This window comes from Homo sapiens, chromosome 19 (assembly GCF_000001405.40).
Source record: "Homo sapiens chromosome 19, GRCh38.p14 Primary Assembly".
NCBI classification, from domain to species: Eukaryota; Metazoa; Chordata; class Mammalia; order Primates; family Hominidae; genus Homo; species Homo sapiens.
Genome location: NC_000019.10, coordinates 42,385,059 through 42,396,834, shown reverse-complemented (window position 1 = coordinate 42,396,834; position 11,776 = coordinate 42,385,059). Strand labels below are relative to the sequence as shown.

Genomic DNA, 11,776 nt, shown 5'->3' with positions numbered 1-11,776 from the left:
GCTGTTTGCTGACCCGATCCTTGGGTCTTGAGGAAGGTTGGGGATTTGAGAGTTCAGACTCCTTGGTTCTGAAGGAGGAGAAGTCTGGGACCCGAGGAAGGAGGGACTAGGGGCCCGGACTCCTGGGTCAGAGGGAGGAGGGGGCTGGAAACCTGAAGGTTTGGTGTCTAGGAGCGGGAACTCCGGGATCTTGAGTCACTCGCCCGCCCAGGGATGACAGGTTTGGGGTTCAGGATTTTATGAGGCTATTTATGGGAAGGGAGCCAGGCCTTACCCCCAGGCAAGTGTTCTGGGTAATGAGGCGGAGCTTGTAATGGAGAGGGAGAAGGAAGAGGCTCAGGGGAAGCTCTGGCCTGGATATGCCCTTTCCTCATCCCGAAAAGGGAAGTCAGAGGCAGGTGCTGTCTGCAAAAGGAACCCAGAGCTAGAGGAGACTGGAGACTCACGTGAGACTAAGAGAAAAATAGAGATACCAAAGGGGAGATGGCAAAAATAAAACAGTAATAATAACAGAGCTCTCTTGTACTGAGTTTACTGTGGCCTGGTTCTGTGCTGAGCATTTTACATAATTATCTCATGTCTTCCTCGCCACAGCTCTGAGAGATTGGATTATTATTAGTAGTATTATCCCCAGTTTACAAGTGAGAAAATTGAGGCCTAGTGAGGGAGAATCCAGATACAGATGTAAAGATACAAGAGAGACACAAAACATAGATGGAGATAAACAAAGAGTTACAGGCCCAGAGAGAAAAAAGAAAACGCAGGCAACAAACAAAAGGAGAGGGGCTGAGAGCTGGGACTCCTGGGGCTGGGGAACTGGAGAGCTGGGGACCCGGACTCCTGGGTCCTGGGGAAAGCAGGTCCAAGGATGGGGTCTCCCAGATATTTTCTCCCGTGAATCCACGATACTAAGCTTGTCCAACCCTTCTGACTGTGGGCGTGAGCCTGGTTGGGGTCGAAAATAGTGATTAGGAGGTGCACTTGCATCATGAGCCTATTAGGAGGTGATAAGAACATGATTCATGGCGGTCTCCTTCGCCTGGAAGGGACCTTTCCCCCATGGCCTCTGTTCTTTGATCTGGACAGATCTGGCCTTCTCTGTCCCTCCCCATCACTGCATCTCGGTCACTCAGAACTGTCACTGAGGCCCATTGTGGAGGCAGTGGGCCACCTTGGGGCAGCAACAGCTTTCCTGGTGGGGGTCATCTCTCTGGGTCTCTCTGCTTTCCCCCAGACCCTGAACCGACCAGAGGTCCTGGCACATTGCAGGGGCTCAGGAAATGCTCATGGAATGAATGGACAGAGATCCCCGTCTCTGGGCAGCTCTTCCTCTGTCCCAATCCAGCCATCGTTTTTCTGTGTCACCATCACGTCTCTTACCCTCTCCCTGGCCTCACTGGTCCCCTCCCACCTTCCCTTTCAATCTCCTGTTTCTCCTTGAGCCACTGGGCCCACTATCCCCATTAGGGAGAAACCAAGGCTCATCTTGGAAGGATCTCTCCCAGGGGTCACCTATGGGATGTTATGTAAGGGAGTGGCCTCACAGCTGAGAGAAGGGTTCTCAAGATTCCAATTATAGACACACTCCCAGCACCTCAGAATCAGAAATGCAAGATCACACCAAACACGTGCCATCACAATTTGTGTTAGATTTGATCTTGCATTTGCACCCACACAAAGAATCACACACATGCAGCAATATAATCACCTACAAGCACAAACACAAATATAGGCACACAACCACAGAATCGCCCGTGATCACAGCACACAAGAAATATCCTATTCCACATGCAAAACAGACACCCCAGCGATGCAGTTACATGGCCAGTCACTGAGAGGCCACTCATCCAGCTCCTACCAGGAGGACCATGAGCAAAGACCTGGGTTAATTCCCTACTGTATCCCCGGCAACCAGAAGAACACATCATCGTCATCAGCAGCAGCAACAAAAAATGTTTCCTATGTGACAGGCACAATTCCAAGCACTTTTTTTTTTTTTTGAGGCGGGGTCTCACTCTGTTACCCAAGCTGGAGTGCAGTGGTGCGATCTCAGCTCACTGCAACCTCTGCCTCCCGGGTTCAAGCGATTATCCTGCCCCAGCCTCCCAAGTGGCTGGGACTACAGGCACCCACCACCATGCCCGGCTAGTTTTTGTATTTTTAGTAGAGATGGGGTTTCACCATGTTGGCCAGGCTGGTCATGAACTCCTGACCTCAGGTGATCCGCCCACTTCAGCCTCCCAAGGTGCTGGGATTATAGGCGTGAGCCACTGTGCCTGGCCGCACTTTTTATTTAATGCTCTCTACAACCTTATTTGCAACAACCCATCTTATAGGTGGGAAAATTGATATCTGAAGAAGTTTAGTGACTTGCCCAAGGTTTCACAGCCACTGACAGGTGGTCAGAATTTGGTGGGTTTTGTTTTTTTTTTTTTTTGAGATGGAGTCTCGCTCTGTCACCCAGGCTAGAGTGCAGTGGCACAATCTTGGCTCACTACAGCCTCCGCCTCCTGGGTTCAAGCAATTCTCCTGCCTCAACTTCCCAAATAGCTGGGACTACAGGCACATGCCACCACACCTGGGTTTTTGTGTGCGTTTTTAGTGGAGACGGGTTTTCACCATATTGACCAGGCTGGTCTTGAACTCCTGAACTCAAGTGACCTGCCTGCCTCAGCCTCCCAAAGTGCTGGGATTACAGGTGTGAGCCACCGTGCCCAGCCAGCAGTCAGAAATTGAACCCAGGCTGGGCATAGTGGCTCATGCCTTTAATCCTGACACTTTAGGAGGCCGAAGCAGAAGGATTGCTTGGGCCCAGGAGTTTGAGACCAGCCTGAGCAACATAGCAAGACTCCGTCACTACAAAAAAATTTTAGAAATTAGCTGGCATGGTGGTGCACACCTGTGGCCCCAGCTACTCAGGAGGCTCAAGTGGGAGGATCACTTGAGTCGGGGAGGTCAAGGCTGCAGTGAGTCCTCCCACTCATTGCACTCCAGCCTAGGGAACAGAGTGAGACTTTGTCTCAATAAAAAAAGAATTTGAGGGTGGGCACGGTGGCTCACGCCTATAATCCCAGCACTCTGGGAGGCCGAGGTGGGAGGATCACCTGAGGTTGGGAGTTCGAGACCAGTCTGCCAAAATGGAGAAACTCCATCTCTACTAAAAATACAAAAAATTAGCCGGGCATGGTGGTGCATGCCTGTAATCCCAGCTACTCGGGAGGCTGAGGCAGGTGAATTGCTTGAACCTGGGAGGTGGAGGTTGCGGTGAGCTGAGATCACACCATTGCACTCCAGCCTGGGCAACAGGAGTGAAACTCCATCTCAAAAAAAAAAAAAAACACGAATTTGAACCCAGGCTTTCTGGCTCCAGAGTCCATCACATAAGGCTGCCATTCAATAAATAATTGCTGCCTTAATCCAACCGGAATTACAGAATCACAGTAACTGCAAACACACCCAAACAGCAGTGCACAGTGTGTAGACTCACAGGAGGGCAATACAGACACACAAATAGAAGAGACCCTCTCATATCACACCGCAGACCACAGAAAAAGCACAGAGACACATCATGACAGTTGGGGGTTGTCATGACAATTGGTCACAACCACACACAGAGACACAATACACCCAAACACAGGGGCACACCCAGAGCTCCCCAAGTCCCTCCTGTTCTGCTCCCAGCCCCGCTGGGCTGGCCTTCAAGGAAACAGCAGGTTGAGGAAGGGAAGGGGGACCACGCCACTTGTCCGCTCTGCCGGACCGGTTCCACCAGGGCCACAGATGGCACAACCCACCTTGTGAAACCCAAAGTGATGACTGACCCACATTGGGCAACTGGACTGAGACCTGGTCTGGATGCCTGGGTTCTGGGGAGAAAGGGGCTGGGAGCCTGGACTCCTGTATTTCCAAAGGAGGAGGGGGTTGGGTGCCCCATTCCTTCTAAGGGGGAGGAGGAGGATTAGGACCTGGACTCGCAGATCCTAAGGAGGGAAGGCTGGGGCCTGGACTCCTAGGTTCTGGGAAAAGAGGGGGCTGGAGTCCTGAACTCCTCTGTCTTTGATGGTAGGGTTCCAGATTTAGCAAATAAAACTATAGGAAGCCCAATTTAATTTGAATTTTAGATAAATAACAAATACTTTTTTAGTATAAATATGTCCCAAATACTGCATGAAACATGCTAAAAAACCTGTTTGTTGCTTATCTGAATTTCAGATTTTACAGGACAGCCTGTATTTTATGTGGCAACCCTGTTTGAGGAGGATGTAGGCCAATGCCTGGTGACTGGGCCACCATCACTCCTCAGCCCCCCAGGAGCTCCTCCTCCTGCTCACGGCCCTCCTCACCCCCAAGCAGGCCACCTCACAGCTTCCCCAGTCTCTATTTCCTCACCTGCATGAATTGCTAGATCTAATTGGGGCCCCCAGGCTGTGTCAGGAGTGAGAGAGGAAACTTGAGGACAACTCAGAGTGTCATGCTGGGAGCCCTGGGGTCCTCGGAGATGACTGACCTTGAGTCACCTGCACCCTTAGTCTGGACAGCAGGGGGGATGGGGCCCTGTAGCTGCCTCCACAGGGCAGGTCTGGAGATGAACAGAGATGGGAAGCGAGATTCAGAAGAGATTTTGACATAGGAGACAGAGACCCCGGGATAAGGGCACAGAGACACAGAGCCTGGAAGGAGAGGGACCCAGAGATGGAGAGACAGAGATTTGGAAAGAGATTTGCAGAGATGAGGAAAGAAAGACAGATTCACAGCTGGAAAGGTGAAGATGCAGGGTGAGAGACGAAGATTCAGAGATGAGGAGACAGGGATGTTAGGACACAAGTGAGGAGATGTCCCCCAGACATCCAGGCTCTAGGACCAATGACGGACGTGCACCGGCAAGACAGTGAGCGCTGCCGGGAGTTCTGGGGACAGGAAGACCCAACCATCTGGGTGGTGCTGGGAGACCAAGGCTTGGGTCCTAATGTGTTGGAGGGAGGGAGGGAGGGAGGGGACACCTGGGATCCCAGCTAGCAGGGTGATCCACCTGCCATCACCCCATACCCGGCGGGGTGATGACACCACCTTCTCTGCAGGTGACACCCCAGTTTTCTAGTGCCTCCTACATTTTTGGGGTGACACCCGTGCTGAGAACCCCACCCAGCTCTAATGCTGCTTCCCTCACTGAGTCACCTCCCAACCCCGTCAGGCCTGTTGGGGGGAAACTTTGGCGATTCAGGCACCCAGACCCCCAGCTCCTTCCCTGCTCAGGAGCCCAGCAGTGTGGAATCCCAGGACCCCTACCCTACTGAGGGATGTGCAGCCTGGCCTCATGAGACGCAGGAGTCCAGGGCCCCAGCCCCTCCTCCCTCAGACCCAGGGGTCCAAGCCCCCACTCCTTTGCTCCATTAGGACCCAGGAGTCCCAGGTGACGTCCACGTCCTTCAGGAACTGCGGCTTTTCAGTTCCCAGCCTCCTCCCTTCCCAATTTGGAGCTGGGGTGAGGTGTGTTTATTTACTTTGGTTCCAACATGAGTCATTCCCCAAAACACACTGCCCCCCATGTGTCTCCTGGCTTGAATGGGGAGGACACTGTCCCCCTCTCCCAGGAAAGTGGGGATATCACTGAGAGAGATGAGCGAGACCCTGAAAGGGGAGTCCCACACAGCACTCTCTCCCACTCCACCCGGCCTTTTTCTCTCCCCACCCATCACCTCTCCCCATTTCCCTGCCCTCTAAGCCTGTTCAGTGATCCCCCCACCTGCCTCTCCACTTTTCCATCTCCGTCTCTCTTCTGTCTCCCATCTCCCCTTTTCTTTCCTTTTTTTTTTTTAAGACAGGGTCTTGCTCTGTCACTGAGGCCGGAGTGTAGTGGCGGGAACACGGCTCACTGCAGCCTCAAACTTCTGGACTCAAGCGATCCTCCTGCCTCAGCCTCTCAAGTAGCTGGGACTACAGGCACATGCCACCATGCCCGGCTAATTCTATTTGTATTTTTTGTAGAGATGGGGTATCCCTATGTTGCCCAGGCTGGTCTTCAACTCCTGGGCTCAAGCGATCCTCTCACCTCAGGCGATTACAGGGTTGGGATTACAGGCGAGAGCCACCATGCCTGGCCCATCTCCCCTCTTCTTGTTATTTCTTTTCACATTTTTGTGCCCCTCTGTTTCTTGGCACCTCTCCATCTCTCTACATCTTCCTGCGTCTCTCCATCTCTCTGAATCTCCTCTCTCTCCTTTCTGTCTAGAGGGACTTCCCTGCCTGCCTTTCTGACACTGTGTTTCTGTCTCTCCCTCTCTTTTGGTCTCTGCGCATTGACCCGGCTGTGGCCCCCCGCCCCCGCCAAACCTCCCACCCCCCGCCACCTTCTTTTCCCTGGGTCCTGGGAGCTGAGGCAGGAGGAGAAGTGGGGGGATGGGAGTGGAGAGGGAGGGCGGGAAATCCCAGTGTGGGGAGAGGGTCGATCAGACCGGCTTGGCTCCCTGGGCACCTCTGTCAGAGCCCCGCCCAGGGCTGCGTGGCCGCCCATATAAGTGGCTCTGGGCTGAGACGGAGAAGTCAGTGCCCGTGTCTCCACACGTCTGCCTCCATCACTGCCATCGCGATCCTGCAGGTAGGAACATCCCCTCCGCAGCCCTCTTCTTTGAGGTTGGGCGCCTCTGCTCTGTTCTCCCTCCTCCTCATCCCACTCATATCACTCTGTCTCCTTTCATATCGCTGATTGTCGGTCTCTCGGGACATCTCTGTCCTTCCCAATGCCCCCAAATCTGTCCTTCTTAACTGGGGTGTGCTGAGCTGAATTTAGAAGTCTTGGGGCCCAGCATCACCTCTATGAACCCCCTTGGCCTGGGCCGTCAGACGTGGGGCGTTCCTCCTCATGTCTCTGAGCCTCAGTGCTCATCTGTGAGATGGGCTTGCAGAGGAGTCAAAGTGCTGGGCACATGTGGGCATTACTGGTGACATCTCTACGGGCACCTGGCTCTGATCTTTCTCCCCTTGTCTCTGACTCTGTCCATCTCCATTTCTTGTTCTCCCTCAAGCTCTATCTCGGGTATGGGGAGGGTCCTCTGCAATCTGTCGGGCAGTTGGAAAGACATGGGCGAGTTTCTCGCCCCCGCCCTATCCATTCCCTATTCCATGTCTCTCCTGGTTGACAGGCTGACTTGGCCTCTTTCTCCCCAGCTCCCCTCCCCCTGAGAGCCCAGCCCCCAGTGCCCCAGTCCCTTGCCCCCACCTCCCCAGTATCCAGCGTCCCTTGGACAGACTCTGCCACTGTTGCCACAGCCACTTCTGCCGTCCCCAACGCCACCTCCTCAGGGCCAGCAAGATGCAGTTTGAGATGCACGACAACGTGAAAGGCAAAGGTGGGACCGCTGGGTGGACCAGCAACCCTCTCAGTACTGGAACCTGGCCGCCTCCCTCCCCTGGGCACCCTTGCTTCGAAGACAGACGGCGCCTGCTTCCACCCCAGAGGCCCCAGAAATGCTGCAACCCAGAACCCAGGCCCAGACGTGGAGGAGGAGGCGGCACCGCCAGGCCCCACCCAGATGTGGTCCCCACCCTTCCTCAGATGTGCAGGAGACCCCCACCCCCAGCCTAACCAGACGTGCAGGAGCCAGCAGCAACAGGGACAGACTGGGGTTGCCGGTGCCCAGATGTAGCAGAAGGGAAGGGGGAGGCACAGTGGTGTCCCTTCAGTGGGCGGCCTGGCGGCCCCGCCCAGACTGCCCGGCACAGGGAAGGGTGGCCGAAGTGCGGGGCCCAGGAGATGCTGCGAGGCTGCCAGCTGACCCCTACCCTCCCACCTCTGCAGCTATGTCCTACCCTGTGACCAGTCAGCCCCAGTGCGCCACCACCAGCTGCTACCAGACCCAGCTCAGTGACTGGCACACAGGTCTCACGGACTGCTGCAACGACATGCCTGTCTGTGAGTGCCTGCCTGCTCCCTCTCCAGGCCTGGTGGAAGATGGGTTTGGGGGGAATCAGGAGAGGGAAGCTCACCTCCAACCTCCTCCCACCGCTTGCTAACCCCACTCCCACCTCCCTTCCCTGGACTTGGAATTCCCACTCTAACAGTCACCCTTTCCTCAGACCCCCAACACTCCTTAGGATACTACCTCATGCCTTCCCACACTCAACTTATCAGGCCCTCAACCTCCCCTTTGCATGCTCAGCTTTCCTCACTGTGACCCCCAACTCCCTCTTCAAACCCTAGCTCCTGGCCCAGTGCAGTGGCTCATGCCTGTAATCCCAACACTTTGGGAGGCCAAGGCATGACAATCCCTTGAGGCCAGGAATTCAAGATCAGCCTGGGCAACATAATGAGATCCCCATCTCTACAAAAATAAAAATAAAAAATAGGTCGGGCGCAGTGGCTCACGCCTGTAATCCCAGGACTTTGGGAGGCCATGGCAGGTGGACCACAAGGTCAGGAGTTCAAGACCAGTCTGGCCAAGATGGTGAAACCCCGTCTCTACTAAAAATACAAAAAAAAAAACCGGGCGTGGTGGCGGGCGCCTGTAAACTCAGCTACTCGGGAGGCTGAGAAAGAGAATTGATTGAACCCGGGAGACAGAGGTTGCAGTGAGCCGAGATCACGCCACTGCACTCCAGTCTGGGCAACAGAGCGAGATTCCGTCTCAAAAATAAAAATAAAAAATAAAATTAGCCCGAGGTGGTGGCACACACCAGTAGTCCCAGCTACTCGGGAGGCCGAGGCGGGAGGATTGCTTGAGCCCAGGAGGTCGAGGCTACAGTGAGACATGTGATCACACCACTGCACTCCAGCCTGGATGACAGACCGAGACTTTAATTTCTTTTTCTTTTTTTTTCTTTCTTTCGTTTTTTTTTTTGTTTTGTTTTTTGTTTTTTTTGAGACGGAGTATTGCTCTGTCGCCCAGGCTGGAATGCAATGGCACAGTCTATGCTCACTGCAACCTCCGCTTCCCGGGTTCAAGCGATTCTCCTGCCTCAGCCTCCCTAGTAGCTGAGATTACAGGCACACACCACCACGCCCGGCTAATTTTTGTATTTTTAGTAGAGACGGGGTTTCACTATGTTGGGTAGGCTGGTCTCAAACCCCTGACCTCGTGATCCTCCCGCCTAGGCCTCCCAAAGTGCTGGGATTACAGGCGTAAGCCACTGCACCCAGCCTCCAATTTCTAAAAAAAAAAAAAAAGAAGAAAAAAAAAAAAAGAAAAACCCTGCCTTCCAATCGCTAAGCCATCCTCTCCTCGGACCTCTAATTCCCTCTGGGACCTCTCCTTGGCTGGGACCCTCAATGCCCCTCCGCGGCGAATCAACCGCGCCCCCCCCGGGGCGGAGCCGTCGGGAGGCCCCGGCTGGCCCCGCCCCTGAGCGCCTGCGCCCCGCCCAGGTCTGTGCGGCACTTTTGCTCCTCTGTGCCTTGCCTGCCGCATCTCCGACGACTTTGGCGAGTGCTGCTGCGCGCCCTACCTGCCCGGAGGCCTGCACTCCATCCGCACCGGCATGCGGGAGCGCTACCACATCCAGGTGCGCGCCGGGCTGGGGACCCGCGGGAGCAGGGAGCTGGGGACTGGCCTCCTGGGACCCACCGCGGGGCTCCTGACCGCTCTCTCCTACCCTCTAGGGCTCCGTCGGGCACGACTGGGCGGCCCTCACCTTTTGTCTGCCCTGCGCCCTCTGCCAGATGGCGCGGGAACTGAAGATCCGAGAGTAAGGAAGTTCCCTGTCTTCCCCGTCCTTTTCCACCAGTCTCGCCTCTGGCCTTCTCTGGCCACTCCTGGGAGGGACTGCCTCACCACCCCTGTCCCGCTGCCAGAAATACACCCACAATAAAAACCTGAAAACCAACTCCGCCTACATCCATTTTGTCCCAGGGTAGGAATCTGGGTGGAGAGAGAGGATTGGTGAGAGAGGTGGGGACAAGACAGATGCCTACGTGTGACCCCGCCAGGCAGTGTGTGACTTTGTCAAGTTATCCCTCCCAAACCCCAGTTGCCCTCACCCTAACAAAGTAAAACCACTAACTCTTTAGCTGCAGACTCCCTGCCTGAAGCTGCCTGCATTCTGAAAATAAGCAAAACCAGAAAGTCAGTCTTGGGAGGACGGAGGCACTGAAGTTCAAAGAAAAAACAGGAGAGCGCCCTTGCTTGCTCCATATCTATGGACTGTTGGCCTGCACACAATTCGAACAGGCGTGGGGGACTTTTGTCTCCAAAGCAGAGAACTTATAAGCTTAAGGCTCTCTGGAGCTAAAAACGAATTTTTTTTCTTTTTTTTTTGAGACGGAGTCTCACTCTGTTGCCCAGGCTGGAGTGCAGTGGCGCGATCTTGGCTCACTGTAAGCTCCGGGTTCACGCCATTCTCCTGCCTCAGCCTCCCGAGTAGCTGGGACTAAAGGTGCCCGCCACCACGCCCAACTAATTTTTTTTTTTTTTTTTTAGCAGAGACAGGGTTTCACCGTGTTAGCCAGGATGGTCTCAATCTCATGACCTCATGATCCGCCTGCCTTGGCCTCCCAAAATGCTGGGATTACAGGAGTGAGCCACCGCACCCGGACCTTTTTTTTTTTTTTTTTTTTGAGACGTAGTTTCGCTCTTGTTGCCCAGGCTGGAGTGCAATGTTGTGATCTCAGCTCACTGCAACCTCCACCTCCCGGGTTCAAGCGATTCTCCTGCCTCAGCCTCCCGAGTAGTTGGGATTACAGGCATGCGCCACCATCCCCAGCTAATTTTGCATTTTTAGTAGAGACGGGGTTTCTCCATGTTGGTCAGGCTGATCTCGAACTCCCGACCTCAGGTGATCCTCCCGCCTTGGCCTCCCAAAGTGCTGGGATTACAGGCATGAGCCACCGCGCCTGGCCTAAAAAGGAATTTTTAGGGACTGTCTACTTCAATCAACCCTCTTTCCTGCAAAAGCAACCAACAGCAGATCAAAAAATGTTCAGGTCTCAAAATTGGACAGACCTGGGATCTAATCTTGACTCCTCACCATTTAGCTGTGTTATCTTAGTGAATTCATAAACCTTTCTGAACCTGATTCCCCCTATAGGACTAACAGTCCCTAGCATGTCATATGGCTATTGTGAGAACAAGAGATGGTACACAGGGAAAGGCCAAAGTGTGAACTCAAATCACTGTGGGCTGGATGTGTTGGCTCCTGCCTCTAATCTCAATGCTTTCGGAGGGCTGAGGCAGGAGGATCACTTCAGGACAGGATTTGGAGACTAGCATGGGCGACACAGCGAGACATCTCTACGAAAAAAAAAATTTTTTTTTTTTTTTTGAGATGGAGTCTCGCTCTGTCGCCCAGGCTGGAGTGCAGTGGCGCAATCTTGGCTCACTGCAAGCTCTGCCTCCCAGGTTCACGCCATTCTCCTGTCTCAGCCTCCCGAGTAGCTGGGACTACAGGCACCCGCCACCATGCCCGGCTAATTTTTTGTATTTTTTAGTAGAGACAGGGTTTCACCGTGTTAGCCAGGATGGTCTCAATCTCCTGACCTCGTGATCCACCCACCTTGGCCTCCCAAAGTGCTGGGATTACAGGCATGAGTCACTGCGCCCGGCCTCTACAAAAAATTTTTGAGCCAGGAGCAGTCACGCCTATAATCCCAGCACTTTGGGAGGCTGAGGCAGGAGGATCGCTTGAGCCCAGGAATTTGAGACCAGCCTGGGCAACATGGCAAAACTGTGTCTACAAAAAATACACAAAAATTAACCAGGCATGAGGCGGGGCGTGGTGGCTCATGCCTGTAATCCCAGCACTTTGGGAGGCGGAGGCAGGTGGATCACCTGAGGTCAGGAGTGCAAGA

General features: G+C 54.1%; 1 protein-coding gene across 4 annotated transcripts, besides 3 other annotated features; it reads left to right on the top strand.

Moving 5' to 3' along the window:
* Positions 21–160: an enhancer, noted in NCBI's record as "active region_14715". NCBI's record gives its function as "activates an Ori minimal core promoter by ATAC-STARR-seq in GM12878 lymphoblastoid cells {active_cell/tissue: GM12878}" and the evidence as "EXISTENCE:reporter gene assay evidence [ECO:0000049][PMID:35858748]".
* On the top strand, positions 6,538–9,816 carry CNFN (cornifelin). Of its 4 annotated transcripts, none has more exons than XM_011527397.3 (5): positions 6,538–6,595; positions 7,300–7,346; positions 7,796–7,909; positions 9,359–9,495; positions 9,593–9,816. In XM_011527397.3, the coding sequence occupies exons 2-5, from the start codon at positions 7,310–7,312 to the stop codon at positions 9,680–9,682; spliced, it is 378 nt and encodes a 125-aa protein (XP_011525699.1). In that variant the 5' UTR covers positions 6,538–6,595; positions 7,300–7,309; the 3' UTR covers positions 9,683–9,816. The 4 variants fall into 4 exon arrangements, with proteins under 4 accessions (XP_011525699.1, XP_005259389.1, XP_011525698.1 ...); XM_005259332.4 differs by having other exon boundaries at positions 7,267–7,346; XM_011527396.3 differs by having other exon boundaries at positions 7,225–7,346.
* Positions 9,251–9,430: a silencer, noted in NCBI's record as "silent region_10713". NCBI's record gives its function as "represses an Ori minimal core promoter by ATAC-STARR-seq in GM12878 lymphoblastoid cells {active_cell/tissue: GM12878}" and the evidence as "EXISTENCE:reporter gene assay evidence [ECO:0000049][PMID:35858748]".
* Positions 9,451–9,630: a silencer, noted in NCBI's record as "silent region_10712". NCBI's record gives its function as "represses an Ori minimal core promoter by ATAC-STARR-seq in GM12878 lymphoblastoid cells {active_cell/tissue: GM12878}" and the evidence as "EXISTENCE:reporter gene assay evidence [ECO:0000049][PMID:35858748]".
* Positions 9,817–11,776: the final 1,960 nt, after the last annotated feature.